Source organism: Homo sapiens, chromosome 1 (genome assembly GCF_000001405.40).
Source record: "Homo sapiens chromosome 1, GRCh38.p14 Primary Assembly".
Taxonomy (NCBI): Eukaryota; Metazoa; Chordata; class Mammalia; order Primates; family Hominidae; genus Homo; species Homo sapiens.
Genome location: NC_000001.11, coordinates 36,214,820 through 36,233,890, shown reverse-complemented (window position 1 = coordinate 36,233,890; position 19,071 = coordinate 36,214,820). Strand labels below are relative to the sequence as shown.

Below are 19,071 nucleotides of genomic sequence, written 5' to 3'. Positions count from 1 at the left end.
GAGGAGGACAACTCAGAAAACTATCATTATCACAACCTACTTACTATAGTTACCTGCAGTTCTGCAGAATAGCCTTGATAGAATGGGTTTTGAATACAAATTTTTATTTTATTTTTTATTTTTTTGAGACAGGGTCTCACTTTGTCACCCAGGCTAGAGTGCAGTGGTGCAATCTTGGCTCACCACAGCCTCAACCTCCTGGGTTCAAGCAATCCTCCTGCCTCAGCCCCCTAAGTAGCTGGGACTACAGGCTCATGCCACCACACCGGCTAATTTTTTATTTTATTTTATTTTGTAGAGGTGGGGTTTCATCATGTTGCCCATGCCCAGGCTATGAGCCACTGTGCCCAGCCTTAAATCAACTTTTTTTTTTTTTTGAGATGGAGTCTCACTCTGTCACCCAGGCTGGAAGGCTGGAGTGCAGTCACACGATCTCCGTTCACTGCAAGCTCCCCCTCCCAGGTTCATGCCATTCTCTTGCCTCAGCCTCCCAAGTAGCTGGGACTACAGGCGCCCACCAGCATGCCTGGCTAATTTTTTTATTTTTAGTAGAGACGAGGTTTCACCATGTTAGCCAGGATGGTCTTGATCTCCTGACCTCGTGATCCGCCCATCTCAGCCTCCCAAAGTGCTGGGATTACAGGCGTGAGCCACCACGCCAGGCCAAATCAACTTTTTAATTCACACACAATAAATGTACACATCTTAAGAATACAGTTCGATGGCCAGGTGCAGTGGCTCACGCCTGTAATCCCAGCACTTTGGGAGGCCGAGGGGGCAGATCACCTGAGGTCAGGAGTTCAAGACCATCCTGGCCAACACGGTGAAACCCTGTCCCTACTAAAAACACAAAAATTAGCTGGGCGTGGTGGTATGTGCCTATAATCCCAGCTTCTCAGGAGGCTCAGGCAGTAGAATTGCTTGAATCTGGGAGGTTGCAGTGAGCCGAGACCGCGCCACAGCACTCCAGCCTGGGCAACAGAGTGAGACTGTCTCAAAAAAAAAAAAAAAGATACAGTTCGATGAGTTTTGACAAAACATACTGTGTAACCACCACCACGACCAAAACAGAATATTTCTATCACTCCAGAAAGTACCCTCTTGCCCCTTGGCAATCTACTCACCTACCACTGTACAAATTATTTTCAACTGCTAACTTAACAGAACCTGAGTGAACTAGGACTTGACAATGGGAGCACTTCAGAGAATGCCATCAAGCCAGTTATTTACTTATTCCCATATTAACTCATCCTTTTTTCAATATTTACTATGCCTCTTCTACGTAACTCAATGTCCTAGGTAGTGACTAGATTCAACATTGAATAAAACAAATCCCTCTTACTCTCTAAAGACGTGAAGGATGAAACACGATAGATTAAAAATAAATATCATGTCATATAGTAATAATGTAGGGTTGGGGAGGGAAACAGCAACAGTTTTTGAAGAGGAGTACTATTATAGAGGAGTCAAGAAAGGCCTCTTTCAGGACATTTCCCAATGTAATAGATACATGTGTACAAAGATACATCAAAACTGCCAAAGCCAAGGTGATACAGCAACTCTTTAACACTTAAGTAATAAGAACTTATGAGTATACAAAGCAAGGCTATGTAAAGGGTCATCTTATGCCTGAAACAAGAATTTCTTATATTTAAAAATTTAACTTTTTTCTTTTCGAGATAGGGTCTCCTCTGTTGCCCAGGCTGGAGTATAGTGGTACAACCTCAGCTCACTGCAACCTTTGCCTCCCGGGTTCAAGTAATTCTCCTGCCTCAGCCTCCCAAGTAGCTGAGATTACAGGCGCACACCACCACACCTGCCTAATTTTTCTATTTTTAGTAGAGATGGGTTTCGCCATGTTGGTCAAGCTAGTCTCAAACTCCTGACCTCAAGTGATCCACCCACCTCAGCCTCCCAAAGTGCTGGGATTACAGGCGTGAACCACACCACACCCAGCCACTAAATCTTTTTCTCTATTGGGCAACCCAACACCGGAATCTGACCAATTCCTCAATCACTTTCATATTAAAAGTTTTTTTCTGATAGCCGATAGTCTTTCAAGCCAAAGGAATTAGTCAAGACTCTAGGACATAGTCTTTAGATAAACTGGGACCATCTTCTGTGAAGCCCTGCTATAAAGGAAAGACCCTGAGTAAAGAAACTTCCTCGTTAACTTTACAATACAGTCTCACCTCTATGCATTCCTCTATCAATCCTTTATTCATGCCATCCTTTTTACTAAAATCGAGAAAAAGGAAATTGAGTTGTTAACCTCACATACACACAAAAAAATCACATGGCACTACTGAAAACAATACAATGGACTTCACAGCAGTATATTATTTTAAAAAACAATAGAATAACCTTAGTTGTTATGTCTCAGGACAAGAGCCAAAAGTCTTATTAATGAGACATTCAACAACTCTGCTTGGCCTTCTATCTTCTGAGACAGGCCAAGCTATGCAGTGACAACATTCCAGATGCTATAAAGCAAACCAAGCAGAACAAAAGTGAGTACACTGAACACATACCAGCTAAACAAGGCACCGGCAGGGGTGAGACCAATGCCTCTATGCTCTCCAAAAGTCTGTTTTTCTTCAGTTTGGAAACAAAGTAATTCAGTGTTTTGGGGGTTCCCCCTGCATTGCTTCAACTCCATCTTTCAAAGCTGCCTAAAATCTTTTTTTTTTTAAGAAGAAACAAACGAAGGATATAAGGTACCAAGACAGAAAAAAAAGGTCAATGATAATGTAAGACAGCAAAGTGACTATGAATGGGAGTATCAGAGACCTCTATGATATATCCAGAACAGGTAATAAAAGATGGAAAATAGACAAGTAATAGAAAGGTATAAAATAGTAAATACCAACTAACACTCTGTCCAGGTCAGGGCTACATGTCAGACTGTTGGCAGGGTCTAGGGCAAATTGGAAATGACATGCCCCAACTATAAAAGATGGTTGCTGCAAAACAGAAAAGCAGATCCATGGCTGCCAGATCTGCTTTTTCAAAAGCAGCCTGAATCCACATTTTTACACAAAATCTCCTTTTTAAATGTTGACAACTAATTCAAATGTACAACACTGTATGAGCCAAAGAAAATATATCTGCAGATTGGATTTAGTCCATAAAACTTTTTAGGCAGAGGTTGAAAACATCTGCCTAAATACATGTATTTTCAGTGGTATAACTCAACTCTGTGGCAGAAAGCACATCCTACGCTTCCAAAGAAACACTATTACCTGAAAAATACACTACAAAAGATATGAGTATACATCTGACAAAATAAATCACTGAAGGAAAGCACACTTAAAATGCTCCTTTTCTAGGCCGGGCGCGGTGGCTCCAGCCTGTAATCCCAGCACTTTGGGAGGACGAGGCAGGTGGATCACCTGAGGTCAGGAGTTCAAGACCAACCTGGCCAACTTGGCGAAACCTCATCTCTACTAAAAAATACAAAAAAAATTAGCCAGGGCTGGGCGCGGTGGCTCATGCCTGTAATCCTAGCACTTTGGGAGGCCGAAGCGGGCGGATCACCTGAGGTCAGGAGTTTGAGACCAGCCTGACCAACATGGAGAAACCCCATCTCTACTAAAAATACAAAATTAGCCGGGCATGGTGGCCCATGCCTGTAACCCCAGCTACTCGGGAGGCTGAGGCAGGAGAATCGCTTGAACCCGGGAGGTGGAAGTTGCGGTCAGCTGAGATCGAGCCATTGCACTCCAGCCTGGACAAGAACAAAACTCCGTCTAAAAAAAAAGAAAAAAAATTAACCAGGTGTGGTGATGGGCACCTGTAATCCCAGCGACTCGGGAGGCTGACGCAGGACAATCGCTTGAACCCAGGAGGTGGAGGTTGCAGTGAGCCGAGATGGCACCACTGCACTCCAGCCTAGGCAATAGAGACAGACTCTGTCTCAAAAAAAAAAAAAAAAAAAAAGGCTGGGCGCGATGGCTCACGCCTATAATCCCAGCACTTTGGGAGGCCAAGGTAGGCAGATGACCTGAGGTCAGAAGTTTGAGACCAGCCTGACCAACATGGAGAAACCTCAACTCTACTAAAAATACAAAATTAGCTGGGCATGGTGGTACATGCCTGTAATCCCAGCTTCTCGGGAGGCTGAGGCAGGAGAATCACTTGAACCCAGGAGGCAGAGGTTGCGGTGAGCTGAGATTGCGCCACTGCACTCCAGCCTGGGCAACAAGAGCGAAACTCCATCTCAAAACAAACAAACAAACGAACAAACAAACAAACAAAAAGCTCCATTTCTGGAACACTTAAAATATGTACTGTAAACAAAATTCAAAGAAAGAAAACATTAGAAAATGAATTTTTGTCAAATTGGACTCACCAAATTTCAGCTTCCTCACTATGAGCAAAACCAGCCCCTATCTTCTAGACAAAAAGAAACTAAAATTTCTACAGCACATCATTAAAACATACTACTTATTCTCAAAAAAAAAAAAACAAAAAAAAAACAAAAAAAAAAACTGTAGACCAGACACGGTGGCTCACCGCTATAATCCCAGCACTTTGGGAGGCTGAGGCGGGCAGATCACGAGGTCAGGAGATGGAGACCATCTTGGCTAACACGGTGAAACCCCGTCTCTACTAAAAATACAAAAATTAGCCGGGTGTGGTGGCGGGCACCTGTAGTCCAAGCTACCTGGGAAGCTGAGGCAGGAGAATCACTTGAACCTGGGAGGCTGAGGTTGCAGCAAGCCAAGATCGCACCATTGCACTCCAACCTGGGCAACAGAGCGAGGCTCCATCTCAAAAAATAAAAAAAAATTAGTTCCCTTGAAAAATTAATAAAGTCAATCTTTTAGAAAGGGTACCCATGTCTCTTACTGCCTTGGTAAGCCTTGAGCAATTACCTTTTTCTTCCTTAGAGACAGGGTCTGGCTCTGTCGCCCAGGCTGGAGTGCAGTGCCGCAATCATAGCTCACTAATACCTTGAACTCCTGGGGTCAAGGGATCCTCCCACCTTAGCCTCCCAAAGTGCTGGGATTATAAGCATGAGCCACCATGCCCAGCCTACATTTTTATGGATTATAAAGCTGCATTATATGGTCTAGAACATTGTTTCTTAACTTTTTTGAAACTCTAACGAATATGGTAGAAGGAGAACACATTTTCCTTGAGAAAATGCACCCCTATTCAAAAATATTTTACAGAGTTCATGGGCTCCCTGGAGTCCACCGGCCATAGATTAAGGATGTAATGTCCTGCTGCAGGCTGTGCGTGGTGGCTCACGCCTGTAATCCCAGCACTTTAGAAGGCCGAGCCCGTTGGATCACCTGAGTTCAGGAGTTCAAGACCAACCTGGCCAACATGGCAAAACCCCGTCTCTACTAAAAATACAAAAATTAGGCCAGATGCGCTGGCTCACACCTTTCCCGACACTTTGGGAGGCCAAAACGGTCGGATCAATTGAGGTCAGGAGTTTGAGACCAGCCTGGCCAGCATGGTGAAACCCTGTCTGTCTCTACTAAAAATACAAAAATTAGCTGGACATAGTGGCGGATGCCTATAATTCCAGCTATTTGGGATGCTGAGGCTGGAGAATCGCTTGAACCCTGGAGGCAGAGGTAGCAGTGAGCCGAGACCATGCCATTGCACTCCAGCCTGGGTGACAAGAGAGAAACTCTGTCTCAAGAAAAAAAAATACAAAAATTAGCCAGGCATGGTGGCAGGCGCCTGTAATCCCAGCTACTCAGGAGGCTAAGGCAGGGAGAACTGCTTGAACCTGGAAGACAGAGGTTGCAGTGAGCCAAGATAGTGCCACTGCATTCCAGCCTGGGCAACAGAGGAAGACTCCACCAACAGAAAAAAAAAAAAAAAAAAAGAGGCCACGTGTGGTGGCGGGTGCCTGTAACCCCAGCTACTTGGGAGGCTGAGGCAGGAGAATCGCTTGAACCCAGGAGGCGGTGGATGCAGTGAGCCGAGATCGCACCACCACACTCCAGCCTGGGCAACAGAGCGAGATTCCGTCTCAAAAACAAAAAGAGTGTCCTGCCATGCAGAATATGTTTACTTGTTTCGAATCCAGGTATCACTCTGTTGCCCAGGCTGGCATGCAGTGTCATGATCATGGCTCACTGCAGCCTACAGAGACTATTAAACCTACTTACCCTCCAATCTCTGCTTCTTGCTCTTCCATCTCTATTTTCTTGCTCTGTCAGGTAACTACCATCTTCGGTCTCTTAACTAACATACCTCACAATCCATTTTCCATACTTCTGTGAAATGATTTTAAAACATAAATCACCCCTGAAACCCCTTCCTTCCTCCCTCCATCTGTTGTAGGCTGGGCGCAGTAGCTTATGCCTGTAATCCCAGCACTTTTGGGAGGCCGAGGCAGGCGGATCACCTAAGCGTGGGAGTTTGAGACCAGCCTGACCAACATGGAGAAACACTGTCTCTACTAAAAATACAAAATTAGCCAGGCGTGGTGGCACATCCCTGTAATCCCAGCTACTTGGGAGGCTGAGGCAGGAGAATCGCTTGAACTGGGAGGTGGAGGTTGCAGTGAGCCAAGATCGCGCCACTGCACTCCAGCCTGGGCAACAAGAGCGAAACACCATCTCAAAAAAAAAAAAAGTTGTAAATAATGTTATATATGTATGTGTCTATACATATTAAAGAGAGAGACGGCAATCCTTCCTACCATCAGAAGGCTTCAATGGCTTCCCTAATAACCTTCTCTCTCCAACTCATCTGTAATCACTCTCCAAAGTGTCAAACACAATTGGCCTCCCTTCAGTTCTGAAAGCACACTAAATTCTTCCCATCTTCCAGTTTGTGCACTTACTGTTTCCTCTACCTGGATACCCTCTCCTTGACATCCTACAAATTGGTTTCCTCACTCTCCCCAAAAAGAACTTCACTGACCACCCTTAGGTCTCCCCCTTTTCAGTGTCTATCAGAGTCCTGAACTGGACACCTCTATGTTACTTTTCTCAATTTGTAGTTTATTTGCTTACCTTTTGTGTTCCCCGCCCCCAACAATCCTGTTAAGTTTCCAAAAGACAAGACCTCATCTGTCATCACACCCTAATATATTCACAGGCCCACAACAGAAGCTGGTAAATGACAGGCTCTCAAGTAGTATTTGTTGAATAAATTACCCAATCAACCAGAGTCAAACAGTGAACAGATCTTAGATGTTTATAGAATATGTGTGAAAAAATCCACCAAAACCCTGTATTTGAGAGAATAGCATTAACCAGACTTCCTTGCATTCAGGATGTCAATATGCCCTACAGAAACAGGGTAGCGCCCTAAAATGCTTAGTGGTTAGGACTATCCATTCTAAAAATAATAAATCGTGGCCGGGCGCGGTGGCTTACGCCTGTAATCCCAGCACTTTGGGAGGCCGAGGCAGGTGATCCCCTGAAGTCAGGAGTTCAAGACTAGCCTGGCCAACATGGTGAAACCCCGTCTCTACTACAAATACAAAAATGAGCCAGGCGTGGTGACACACACCTGTAATCCCAGCTACTCAGGAGGCAGAAGCAGGAGAATCGCTTGAACCCAGGAGGCGGAGGTTGCAGTGAGCCGAGATTGTGCCCCTGCACTCCAGCCTGGGTGACAGCGCGAGACTTTGTCTCAAAAAATAATAATAATAATAAATCGTATGTCTGTGTACCCTCCCAGTCATCAACATTTCCCATCTCTGTGCTAATCTCAGAAATATTCCAAGCTTCCTCCCTCCAATTCCTCGGAACAAAATAGATCACTCTTTTTGTAATCCATATTTTGCAGGCTAAACCAAATTTAAAAGTACCTATATATTTGGTATTAAATAAATACACTAAGGTGGTACTACTACTACCATCACCACTGCTAAAATTGAACTGTACCTAGTCTACAAAACTAAAAACATCAGTCTCCAAAATTGGAGATCTTTCTCTGGTGTTAAAACGTTTAAAAAACAAAGAGATGGAATTACACTGGATATAGAGGTTTTTAATCAAATCACTTCTTACAGAAACCTCAACACAACTCTCTTACAAAATGCAATTAAGCCCAAATGGCTGCAGTAAAACTTATCATTAACGTATGAACATTGGCTCACAAAATACATCTCCCGGCAAAGAACAAACTGAGCCCGATTTGCTCCACAAGTTGTTCATGGCAGGAGCCGGTTTTGGCTATTTAACAAGCTTCTAAATCATAATACACACGTCAGACTGTCTAGAATTACAGAACAGACTACAACAGTACTTCCACAAACGAAAAAAGTCAGGGTCATCTGAAACAGAAGAAAAATAACGGTGTGATACACGCCTCATCTCTCTCGGCGCACACTCTAAAAAAAAAACCTATAAATGATGATATTACTTTTTAACAGTGGCTAAGTGATTTTTATTTTATCTCATTTAGTCTCCACAATAACCCTGTAAAGGGGTCACTGTTACTTACTGCTGTTTTAGTGATAAGAAAACTGAGGCAGCTGGAGATGAAGACTCTTGACCTAAGATCAAAAGATAGCAGGGCCAAGATTTAAACCCAAGCCAACTGGTTCAGGATACTTCTGTTATGCTCCCAACAGAAGCTTCACTGCCTCTCTCTTGCCAGGTCCTTCTATACTCTCAGAGGCTTTCCCTTCACCCCAAGTAACAAATTCCCCATAAACACTGTACTGCCACTGATGGCTTCCAACTTCTGTGCACCATTGCTGCTCCCCAGCTTCTGCTGCCATGCTCCACCCCTAAGATTTGTAAAGTCAAAGACAACAGTTGATAAAAGTTGCTTAGGTGCTAAGAGAAGCAAAATAATTCACCTCATATAAGCAGAACTCACGCCGATTGCCACTGGAATGCAAGCCGGCCTCAGCTCCAGCCCAAGAAAAAAGTGAGAACTCTAATATTCCCGTAGGAGACAAATTTGGACTATCCCGTTTTTGGCCACCAGGCTGGAAAGAACGGAAGCGGTACTAACATTTACTGAGTGGCAGCCACATGCGCCCTAGGAGAAGACCGAACCAGGCCAATGGGGACTGGGTGGGGGGAAGGGCACTCGGGAGTTCCGGGAAAAGAAATCCAAATAACGGGGTTCATACGACCAAAACGGGAGGAGTAGGGAGTGGCCGCCCCCAGGCCGACTGCAAGATAAAGCGGCGTAGGAGCTGCTCTGCAGAGAAGGCGACCAAGAGCCTTGGGAGCTAGGCCGGGGCCAGGGGAAGACCTAAAGGGCGGGGAAGGGGAGGAGCCGGAGGGAACGGAGCCCGCTCAGAAGAGGCCAGGGTGTAAGCTGGGGGGAGCGACTCCACGCCAGGCCTTCCCCGAGCCCCTGACCAGCAGCTGGGGAAAAAAGATAAGAGACGAAACCACTAGAGCCGGTTAAGCTGCCCTAACTTCCATCAGAGGCGCTCACTCACCTGGGCCTACCACAGAGATCGCAGCTGCAGCTCGCAACGGAACAACCAGCCCGAACCTCGCCCCCGCCCCACAGCGCGCCCAGCGTCTCCGCTCTCCGACGACGGCGACGGCGTAGACCCGCTGCCTCCTGGGAAATGTAGTCCTACGCCCTCCTCTCCTGGCCGACTTGGCTGCCATCAGAACTACGTTTCCCAAAAGACAAGGCGAGCGTTGGGCCCGCCGCTTTGCGTCACGCGCTCGGTTGTCGGCGGTCACGTGGGTTGCTCGGGGCCGTCCCCTCCCCCCGCCTGGGTGGCCTGGAGATGGAGGAGGGCGGTGGACGGAAGGGGCGGGGGCGTTGCTGACGCCACTGCCCCCACCATTTTGGAACCAGCCTGGAGGGAGAGTCTGAGCCCCACCCACTCCGGGCCAGCTTGCCTTGTTGAAAAGCTTCCGAGTTGGAAGTCGAGTCTCCCTGTTTTTGGTCTCTGCTGCGCTCCCTTCCGCTTTGTGACCTTGAGCAAATTCATCCCTCCTCTCTAAACTTGTTTCCTCCCCTGTGAAATGAGACTTGTAATTTCTACCCCACAGCGATGTTGCCAGGCTCCGACAAAGTAAGGCACAGGAAAGCCTCAAGCACCCTGAAAGCGCAACGCAAATGGAGGGGTTGGTTTGGTTTCGTTTTTTTAATTTTAATTGTGTGACCTCATTCGGAGACCCAGAAACCGCCTCTCCCCAGCCTGCCTTCTGTAACTATGATTTTCTGACTGTCGTCCTGGGAAGTTTGTTAAAATGGGTGCTACTGGGGTATTGAACCAAAAGTTTACCGGGGAGTGTCTCCCTGCAGTCTACATTTTAAACCGATCTCTCGGGTGATTCTTACCCACCTACAAATTTGAGAATCTCTGCGTTTATCAGTTTTGCACAGGCTGGTTTCCTCCGGAATTTCTGCTCTAGTGTCTCTGAACATTTAAGACCCATCTCATAGGTCATCTGTGATGCTTTCAAAGTTGACTAGCTCCTCCCTATGCCTGTGTTCCCACAGTAAGTTTGCATCTTACTCTGTAAGTATCGGGGCCTTCCCCGACAAGACTGTGAGCTCTTTGAGAGCCGAGATCAGTTTTGATGGATTTCTGCACCTCCAGAGAAAAGTAGACACAGTACACATCAATTAATAAAGAAATCTAATGCTCTTCCTAAGAGAAAAGCTGCAAGGCTCAACTCAAGTAGCAGACCACGCCACATCAGCCCTTGCCCTTAGTGGCTTCGGCAGCATTCCTTGCACACGGCTTACTCTTTCTTCCTTCTTTGAGCACTTCTTGTGGTCGACGTACTGCGCAGTGCTTCTTAAAACGTTCTAATTTAATTGATTTTATTTTTATTTATTTATTTATTTATTTATTGAGATTCTCCCTATGTCGCCCAGGCTGGAGGGCAGTGGTGCGATTTTGGGTCACTGCAACATCTGCCTCCCAGGTTCAAGCGATTCTCCTGCCTAAGCCTCCTGAGTAGCTGATTTTACGGGCATATGCCACCACCCGGCTAATTTTTCTACTTTTTGTGGAGACGGGGTTTCGCCACGTTGGCCAAGCTGGTATCAGACTCCTGACCTCAAGTGATCCACCTGCCTCGGCCTTCCAAAGTGCTGGGATTACAGGCGTGAGCCACGGGGCTGAACCAATGTAATTTTAAATTCAAAGATTTTCTGGGTGTCTACTGTATACAATGCCCAGTGTAAAATACTGGGAACACGGTAGTAAACTAGATGGATACCAAAATACATAATTTTGGCTCCCCTTTTAAGAAATACAGGCATAGGCCGGGCGCGGTGGCTCACGCCGGTAATCCCAACGCTTTGGGAGAACCGAGGCGGGCAGCTCACCTGAGGTCAGGAGTTCGTGATCAGCCCAGCCAACATGGCGAAACCCGTTCTCTACTAAAAATACTACAGATTAGCCGGGCGTGGTGGTGGGCACCTGTAATCCCAGCTACTCAGGAGGCTGAGACAGGAGAATCGCTTGAACCCAGGAGGTGGAGGTTGCAGTGAGCCGAGATCATGCCACTGCACTCCAGCCTGGGCGACAGAGCAAGACTCCGTCTCAAAAAAAAAGAAAAGAAAAAAAGAAATACAGGCATATCTCAAATATTGCAGGTTCAGTTCCAGAACACCACAATAAAGCAAAGATTGCAGTAAGGTTAGTCCAAGTTTCCCAGTGCATATTAAAGTTATATAGTATGTTTACATCATACTGTAGTCTATTGTGTGCACTAGTGTTATGACCTAAAATATATATACTTTAATAAAGAATATTACTTAAAAATGCTGTCAGCCTGGCGTGGTGGCTCACACCTGTAATCCCAACACTGGGAGGCCAAGGCGGGTGGATAACCTGAGGTCAGAAGTTTGAGACCAAGGCCAGGCGCAGTGGCTCACGCCTGTAATCCCTGCACTTGGGGAGGGCGAGGCTGGTGAATCACCTGAGGTCAGGAGTTCAAGACCAGCCTGGCCAACATGATGAAACCCTGGTCTCTACTAAAAATACAAAAAATTAGCTGGGCATGCTGGCGGGCACCTGTAATCCCAGCTATTCAGAAAGCTGAGGCAGGAGAATCGCTTGAACCCAGAAGGCAGAGGTTGCGGTGAGCCGAGATCGTGCCACTGCACTCCAGCCTGAGTAACAAGAGCAAAACTCCGTCTCAAAAAAAAAAAAAAAAAGTTCAAGACCAGCCTGACCAACACGGTGAAACTCCGTCGCTACTAAAAATACAAAAGAATTAGCTGGGCGTGGTGGCACATGCCTGTAATCCCAGCTACTCGGGATGTTGAGGCACGAGAATCGCTTGAACCCAAGAGGCGGAGGTTGCAGTGAGCTTAGATCGCGCCATTGCACTCCAGCCTGGGCAACAAGAGCAAAACTGTCTCAATAAAAATGCTGTCATCTGAGCCTTCAGCAAGTGGTCACTTTTTGCTGGTGGAGGGTCTTGCTTTTATGCTGATGGCTGTTGACTGACTAGGGTGATAGCTGCTGAAGGTTGGGGTGGATGTGGCAGTTTCTGATAATAAGAGAGCAATGAAGTTTGCCCCATCCATTTACTCTTCCTTTCTTTTTTTTTTCCCTTTTCATCCACTGAGAAAATGAAAAGTTGACTATTTCTTTCATGAAAGATTTCTCTGTAGCGTGCAGTGCTCTGATAGCATTTTAACAGCAGAACTTCTTTCAAAATTGGACTCACTCATCTCACATACTGCTGGTGTCTTATCAACCAACTTTACATAATATTCTAAATCCTGTGTTGTCACTTCAACAATGTTCGCAGCTTTTTTTTTTTTTTTTTTTTGAGATAGGGTCTCACTCTGTCACCCAGATTGCAGTGCAGTGGCCCACAATATGTGCACACTGCAACCGCCATCTCCCAGGCTCAAAGGATCCTCTCGCCTCAGCCTCCCAAGTAGCTGGGACTACAAGTGCATACCACCATGCTGAGCTAAAATTGTAAAAATTATTTTGTAGAGATGAGGTCTCACTATATATATATATATATATATATATATTTTTTTTTTTTTTTTTTTTGAGACAGTCTCACTCTGTTGCCTGGGCTGGAGTGCAGTAGTGCGATCTCTGCTCACTGCAGTCTCTGCGCCCCCGGGTTCAAGCGATCCTCCTGTCTCAGTCTCCCGAGTAGCTGAGATTACAGGTACCCGCCACCTCACCCAGATAATTTTTTGTGTTTTTAGTAGAGACAGGTTTTCGCCATGTTAGTCAGGCTGGTTCCGAACTCCTCACCTCAGGTGATCCACCCGCCTCAGCCTCCCAAAGTGCTGGGATTACAGGCGTGAGCCACTGTGCCCAGCCGAGGTCTCAGTATATTGCCCATTCTGGTCTCAAACTCCTGGGCTCAAGTGATTTTCCTGCACTGGGTTTCTAAAGTGCTGGGTTCATTTATTCATTCTTGTCATTCATTTACAGATATGAGCCACTGCACCCAGCCTTCACAACATTTACAACAAGAGTTGATTGTATCGTAAACCATTTTTTGACCAGGCTGGTCTCGAACTCCTGACCTCAAGTAATCAGTCCACCTCAGCCTCCCAAAGTGCTGGGATTATGGGTATGAGCCACCACACCTGGCCACAAAATGTATTTCTTAAATAAGACTTGAAAGTCAAAATTACTCTTTTATCCATGGGCTATAGAACGGACATCATGTTAGCAGGCATAAAAACAACATTAGGGCTGGGCACAGTGGCTCACACCTGTAATCCCAACATTTTGGCAGGCCGAGATGGGTAGATCACTTGAGGTCAGGACTTTGACACCAGCCTGGCCAACACAGTGAAACCCCATCTGTACAAAAATACAAAAAATAGCTGGGCGTGGTGGTGTGCATCTGTAATCCCAGCTGCTCAGGAGGCTGAGGCAGGAGAATCACTTAAACCCAGAGGTGAAGGTTGCAGTGAGCCAAGGTCACGCCATTGCACTCCAGCCTGGGTGACAGAGTGGGACTCCATCCCAAAAAAGAAAAAAGTTCTGTCATCCAGGCTTTGTTGTTCCATTTGTAGAGCATAGGCAGATTAGATTTAGCGTAATTCTTAAGGGCCTTAGGATTTTCAGAATGGTAAATGAGCATCGCCTTCAACTTAAAATCACCAGCTGCATTAGCCTGAAAAAAGAGAATCAGTCTGTCTTTTGAAGCCTTGAAGCCAGGCATTGACTTCTGCTCTCTAGCTATGAAAGTCCTAGATGCCATCTGCTTCCAGTGGAAGGCTATTTCATCTACATTGACAATCTGTCAGGGGCCGGGCACGGAGGCTCACGCCTGTAATCCCAGCACTTTGGGAGGCCGAGGCAGGCAGATCACCAAAGGTCAGGAGTTCGAGACCAACCTCTCCAATGTGGTGAAACCCCGTCTCTACTTTAAAAAAAAAAAAAAAGTTAGCTGGGCATGGTGGCGGGTGACTGTAATCCCAACCTCTTGAGAGGCTGAGGCAGGAGAATCGCTTGAACCCAGGAGGCAGAGGTTACAGTGAGCCGAGATTGCTCCACTGCACTCCAGTCTAGGCAACAGAGTGAGATCCCATCTAAAAAAATAAAAATAAAAAAGAGAAAATTTGTTGTTTAGTTTAGCCACCTTCATCAATTATTTTAGCTAGATCTCCTGCAAAATTTGATTCAGTTTCTACATCAGCACTTGCTGTTTCACCTAGTACTTTTATGTAACGGTGATGGCATCTTTCCTTAAACCTCACGAACCAAACTCTGGTAGCTTGAAACTTTTTTCTGCAGCTTCCTCAATTCTTTCAATCTTCACAGAATTGACAAGAGTTGGAGCCTTGTTCTAGATTAGGCTTTTGTTTATGGGAATGCTGTGACTGATCTGATCTTCTTTGTAGGTCACTAAAACTCTCTCTGTATCAGCAATAAGGCTGTTTTGCCTTCTTATCAAATTCATTTATTCCCTGGAGTTGCACTTTTTTTTTTTTTTTTTTTTTTTGAGATGGAGCCTTGCTCTGTTGCCTAGGCTAGAGTGCAGTGGCGTGATCTCAGCTCACTGCCACCTCCACCTCCTGGGTTCAAGCAATTATTCTGCTTCAGCCTCCCAAGTAGCTGGGATTGCAGGCGCCCGCCACTGCACTTGGCTAGTTTTAGTATTTTTAGTAGAGACAGGGTTTCACCATCTTGGCCAGGCTGGTCTCGAACTCCTGACCTCGTGATCCACCTGCCCCTGCCTCCCGAAATGCTGGGATTACAGACGTGAGCCACCACGCCTGGCCTGGAGTTGCACTTTTAATTTCCTTTTTTTTTGAAACAGAGTCTGGCTCTGTCGCCCAGGCTGGAGTGCAGTGGCACAATCTCGGCTCACTGCAAGCTCTGCCTCCCGGGTTCATGCCATTCTCCTGCCTCAGCCTCCCGAGTAGCTAGGACTACAGGTGCCTGCCACCACGCCTGGCTAATTTTTTCTTTTGTATTTTTTAGTAGAGACAGGGTTTCACTGTGTTAGCCAGGATGGTCTCGATCCCCTGACCTTGTGATCCACCCACCTCGGCCTCCCAAAGTGCTGGGATTACAGGCGTGAGCAACTGCGCCTGGCTTTTTTTTTTTTTTTTTTTTTGAGACAGAGTCTGGCTGTGTTGCCCAGGCTGGAGTGCAGTGATGTGATCTCTGCTCACTGAGTGATGCAATCTCTGCTCACTGCGTGATGCAATCTCTGCTCACTGCAGGCTCTGCCTCCTGATTTCAAGCGATTCTCCTGCCTCAGCCTCCCGAGTAGCTGGGACTACAGGTGCCTGCCACCACGCCTGGCTAATTTATATATTTTTTTTTAGCAGAGACAGGGTTTCACCATGTTGGCCAGGCTGGTCTCGAACTCCTGACCTCAAGTGATCCACCCACTTCGGCCTCCCAGAGTGCTGGGATTACAGGCGTGAGCCACTGTGCCTGGCCTAATTTCCTTCAAGAACTTTTTCTCTGCGTTCACAACTTGGCTAATTGACACAACAGGCCTAGCTTTCTGCCTGTCTAGGCTTTTGACATCCCTTCCTCATTAAGCTTAATCATTTCTAGCTTTTGATTTAAAGTGAGAGACATGAACAGTTAGAGGCCATTGTAGCGTTTTGTAGGGTTATTAATTGGCCTAATGTCAATGTTGTTGTGTCTCAGGGAACAGGGAGACTGGAGGAGAAGGAGAGAAACAGGGAATGGCCAGTTGGTGGAGCAGTCAGTACACACACAACACTTACTAAGTTTACCACTTATATGGGTGCAGTATGTGGCACTGCCAAACAATTACAATAGTAACATAACTGATGTTAATTGATAGGAATATCACTGATCACCATAACAGATATAATAATAATGAAAAAGTTTGAAATATTGCAAGAATTACCAAAATGTGACAGGGACACAAAGTGAGCACATGCCTTTGGAAAAATTGTGTCAATAGACTTGCTTGACACAGGGTTGCCACAAACTCGCAGTTTATAAAAAAAAAAAATGCCATATCTACAAAGCACAGTAAAACAAGATCTATCTTGGATCTCTTCCAACCTTTCTACCAACCGCTGCCCCTTCCCTGGCCCAGAAACTTACCCCAAGGTTCCAGTCTCTGCCCTCTCCTCTCCTCATTCAGCCTCTCTCCCTGAGTGACCTCTCTCCTTGAGTGACCTGGCATACTCAGGTAGCTTTACATCTCTTTTAAGCATCTTATTCCCTTATCTACATCTTAGAGTCAACTCACTTAGTTCCAGATATATAGGAGCCACCATACCCTGATTTCCCACTGGTATCTCAAATCCACCCTGCCAGAAACCGAACTCTTCTTCCCTCCAGTACAGCATTACCTAGTTAAGTGTGTAGTTAATTGTTTGTATGTCTGCATTCTCCATGAGGCTTTGAGTTCCTCTCAAAGCAGAGAAAACTGTATCACTTCATTCATTTGGTGGGCACATACCATGGGTCAGGCCCTGTACTATGATGATCAGGAAAAAAAAGAGTAAACAAAACAGATGTGGTCCCTTCCCTCACAGAGCTTACCTCCAACTGGGGAGGTAGCATTAAGAAGTCTATCACATGCATAATTAATTACTAATGGATGAGTGCAATGCAGGAAGAGTATATGGTATATGCTATGATAGCACAGAACAGAGGTCAGCAAACTACAACCTGTGGGCCAATTCTGGCCCATCTCCTGTTTTCGTATGGGCAGAAACTAGGATTATTTTTACATTTTTATTTACTTATTTGTTTTTGAGACAGAGTCTGGCTCTGTCCCACAGACTGGAGTGCAGTGGCGTGATCACAGCTCACTGCAGCCTCCTGGGCTCAAGCAATCCTCCCACCTTAGCCCCCAAGTAGCTGGGACCACAGGCATGCACCACCATGCTCAGCTATTTTTTTGTTGTTGTTGTTGTTTTTGGCCAGGCTGGTCTTGAACTCCTGACCTTGTAATCCACCCGCCTCGGCCTCCCAAAGTACTAGGATTATAGGTGTGAGCCACCACACCCGGCATTTTTTTTTTTTTTTTTTTTTTTTGAGACGGAGTCTCACTCTTTCACCCAGGCTGGAGTGCAGTGCGCGATCTCCGTATCCCAGTTCAAGCGATTCTCCTGCCTCTGCCTCCCGAGTAGCTGGGATTACACGCCACCAAACACAGCTAATTTTTGTATTTTTAGTACAGACGGGGTTTCACCATGTTGGCCAGTCTGGTCTTGAACTCTTGACCTCAGGTGAGCCACCCACCTCAGCCTTTCAAAATGTTGGGATTACAGGCGTGAGCTACAGCGCCCAGCTGTTTTTTTCTTTTTAATTTTTTGTAGAGACACGGTCTCACTGTATTGCCCAGGCTGGTCTCAAACTCCTGGGCTAAAGCAATCCTCCTGCTTAGGCCTTCCAAAGTGCTAGGATTTCAGATGTGAGCCACTGTGCCCAGCCTATTTTTACATTTTTTAATGGTTGGGAAAAAAGAAAGAAAATTTTATTGGCTGGGCGCTGTGGCTTATGCCTGTAATCCCAGCACTTTGTGAGGCTGAGGCGGGTGGATCACCTGAGGTCGGGAGTTTGAGACCAGTCTGACCAACATGGAGAAACCCCGTCTCTACTAAAAATACAAAATTAGCCGGGCGTGATGGCACACACCTGTAATCCCAGCTACTCAGGAGGCTGAGACAGGAGAATCACTTGAACCCGGGAGGCAGAGGTTGCGTTGAGCTGAGATCGTGCCGTTGCACTCCAGCCTGGTCAACAAGAGCAAAACTCTGTCTCAAAAAAAAAAAAAGAAAATATTCTTTTTGTGACATGCAAAAAGTATATGAAATTCAAAGTTCAGCATCCATAAATGCATTCATGTTATTGCCTATGGCTGCTCTGACTGCAGAGTAGAGTGGTTGCAACAGAGACTGTGGTCTGCAAAGCCTACAACATGTACGATTTACCCCTTAAGAAAAGGCTTGCTGACTTGGTATAGAATCCGGAGGTCCTGTTCTAGGCTAGAAGTTTAGGAGATGCTTCCTTAAGGGAATGACCCATAAACGATATAGTTAGCCAGGCCAAGAATTGGGGAAGAGCATTCCAGACAGAAGGAAAAACACAGGGAAAAGCGCTGTGGCCTGAAGGAACGTGGCACATCCTAAATGTTGTTAGGTCTGCCATTGACTCTGGAGTGTAATAGGAGGAGAAGCACAATAATGTCAATGAGGTCCTAAGGAGCCGGATCCCACTGGGTCTGACAGTCCAGATTGAGGAGATTGGATTTTATTGAGACCAATGGGAAACCATTAAAAGGTTTTTTTTGTTTTGTTTTTGTTTTTTTTTGAGTCTCGCTCTGTCGCCCAGGCTGGAGTGCAGTGGCGCAGTCTCGGCTCACTGCAAGCCCCACCTCTCGGGTTCATGCCATTCTCCTGCCTCAGCCTCCCAAGTAGCTGGGACTACAGGCGCCCGCCACCATGCTCGGCTAATTTTTTTTTGTATTCTTAGTAGAGACGGGGTTTCATCGTGTTAGCCAGGATGGTCTCTATCTCATGACCTCATAATCCGCCCGCCTCGGCCTCCCAAAGTGCTGGGATTACAGGCGTGAGCCACCGCGCCCAGGCCATTGAAAGGTTTATAAGCAGGGGAGGGACGTGATTCTCATTTCCTTTTTTATTTTTATTTTATTTATTTATTTTTTTTTTGAGACAGAGTTTTGCTTTGTTGCCCAGGCTGGAGTGCAA

At 46.1% G+C, this 19,071-nt stretch overlaps 1 protein-coding gene across 14 annotated transcripts in view, besides 9 other annotated features; it reads right to left on the bottom strand.

The window, feature by feature from the left end:
• The window catches only part of THRAP3 (thyroid hormone receptor associated protein 3), a 97,721-nt gene that overhangs the window by 71,467 nt on the left and 7,183 nt on the right, over positions 1-19,071 (bottom strand). For 5 of the 14 annotated variants that reach the window (XR_007065301.1, NM_005119.4, NM_001321473.2 and 2 more), the window contains exon 1: positions 9,386-9,448. The exons of 1 other annotated variant lie outside the window; for it this stretch is intronic. The gene's annotated coding sequence lies outside the window, so the exon portion shown is untranslated. Of the gene's footprint in view, positions 1-8,427; positions 8,480-8,788; positions 8,921-9,385; positions 9,449-19,071 lie in introns of those variants that run through there. 8 more of the 14 variants (XR_007065302.1, XM_047436212.1, XM_047436243.1 and 5 more) reach the window with 3 other exon arrangements.
• Positions 9,002-9,530: an enhancer, noted in NCBI's record as "H3K27ac hESC enhancer chr1:36689962-36690490 (GRCh37/hg19 assembly coordinates)". NCBI's record gives its function as "activates a minimal SCP1, AML or CMV promoter by ChIP-STARR-seq in naive H9 embryonic stem cells {active_cell/tissue: H9 hESC(naive)}" and the evidence as "EXISTENCE:reporter gene assay evidence [ECO:0000049][PMID:30033119]".
• Positions 9,002-9,571: a biological region, named in NCBI's record as "H3K27ac hESC enhancer GRCh37_chr1:36689962-36690490".
• Positions 9,362-9,571: an enhancer, noted in NCBI's record as "active region_749". NCBI's record gives its function as "activates an Ori minimal core promoter by ATAC-STARR-seq in GM12878 lymphoblastoid cells {active_cell/tissue: GM12878}" and the evidence as "EXISTENCE:reporter gene assay evidence [ECO:0000049][PMID:35858748]".
• Positions 9,531-10,058: an enhancer, noted in NCBI's record as "H3K27ac hESC enhancer chr1:36689434-36689961 (GRCh37/hg19 assembly coordinates)". NCBI's record gives its function as "activates a minimal SCP1, AML or CMV promoter by ChIP-STARR-seq in naive H9 embryonic stem cells {active_cell/tissue: H9 hESC(naive)}" and the evidence as "EXISTENCE:reporter gene assay evidence [ECO:0000049][PMID:30033119]".
• Positions 9,531-10,271: a biological region, named in NCBI's record as "H3K27ac hESC enhancer GRCh37_chr1:36689434-36689961".
• Positions 9,702-9,821: a silencer, noted in NCBI's record as "silent region_658". NCBI's record gives its function as "represses an Ori minimal core promoter by ATAC-STARR-seq in GM12878 lymphoblastoid cells {active_cell/tissue: GM12878}" and the evidence as "EXISTENCE:reporter gene assay evidence [ECO:0000049][PMID:35858748]".
• Positions 9,972-10,271: an enhancer, noted in NCBI's record as "active region_748". NCBI's record gives its function as "activates an Ori minimal core promoter by ATAC-STARR-seq in GM12878 lymphoblastoid cells {active_cell/tissue: GM12878}" and the evidence as "EXISTENCE:reporter gene assay evidence [ECO:0000049][PMID:35858748]".
• Positions 10,482-10,651: an enhancer, noted in NCBI's record as "active region_747". NCBI's record gives its function as "activates an Ori minimal core promoter by ATAC-STARR-seq in GM12878 lymphoblastoid cells {active_cell/tissue: GM12878}" and the evidence as "EXISTENCE:reporter gene assay evidence [ECO:0000049][PMID:35858748]".
• Positions 18,681-18,801: a silencer, noted in NCBI's record as "fragment chr1:36680691-36680811 (GRCh37/hg19 assembly coordinates)". NCBI's record gives its function as "represses an EF-1alpha promoter that drives an FKBP-Casp9 reporter gene in an ReSE screen in K562 erythroleukemia cells {active_cell/tissue: K562}" and the evidence as "EXISTENCE:reporter gene assay evidence [ECO:0000049][PMID:32094911]".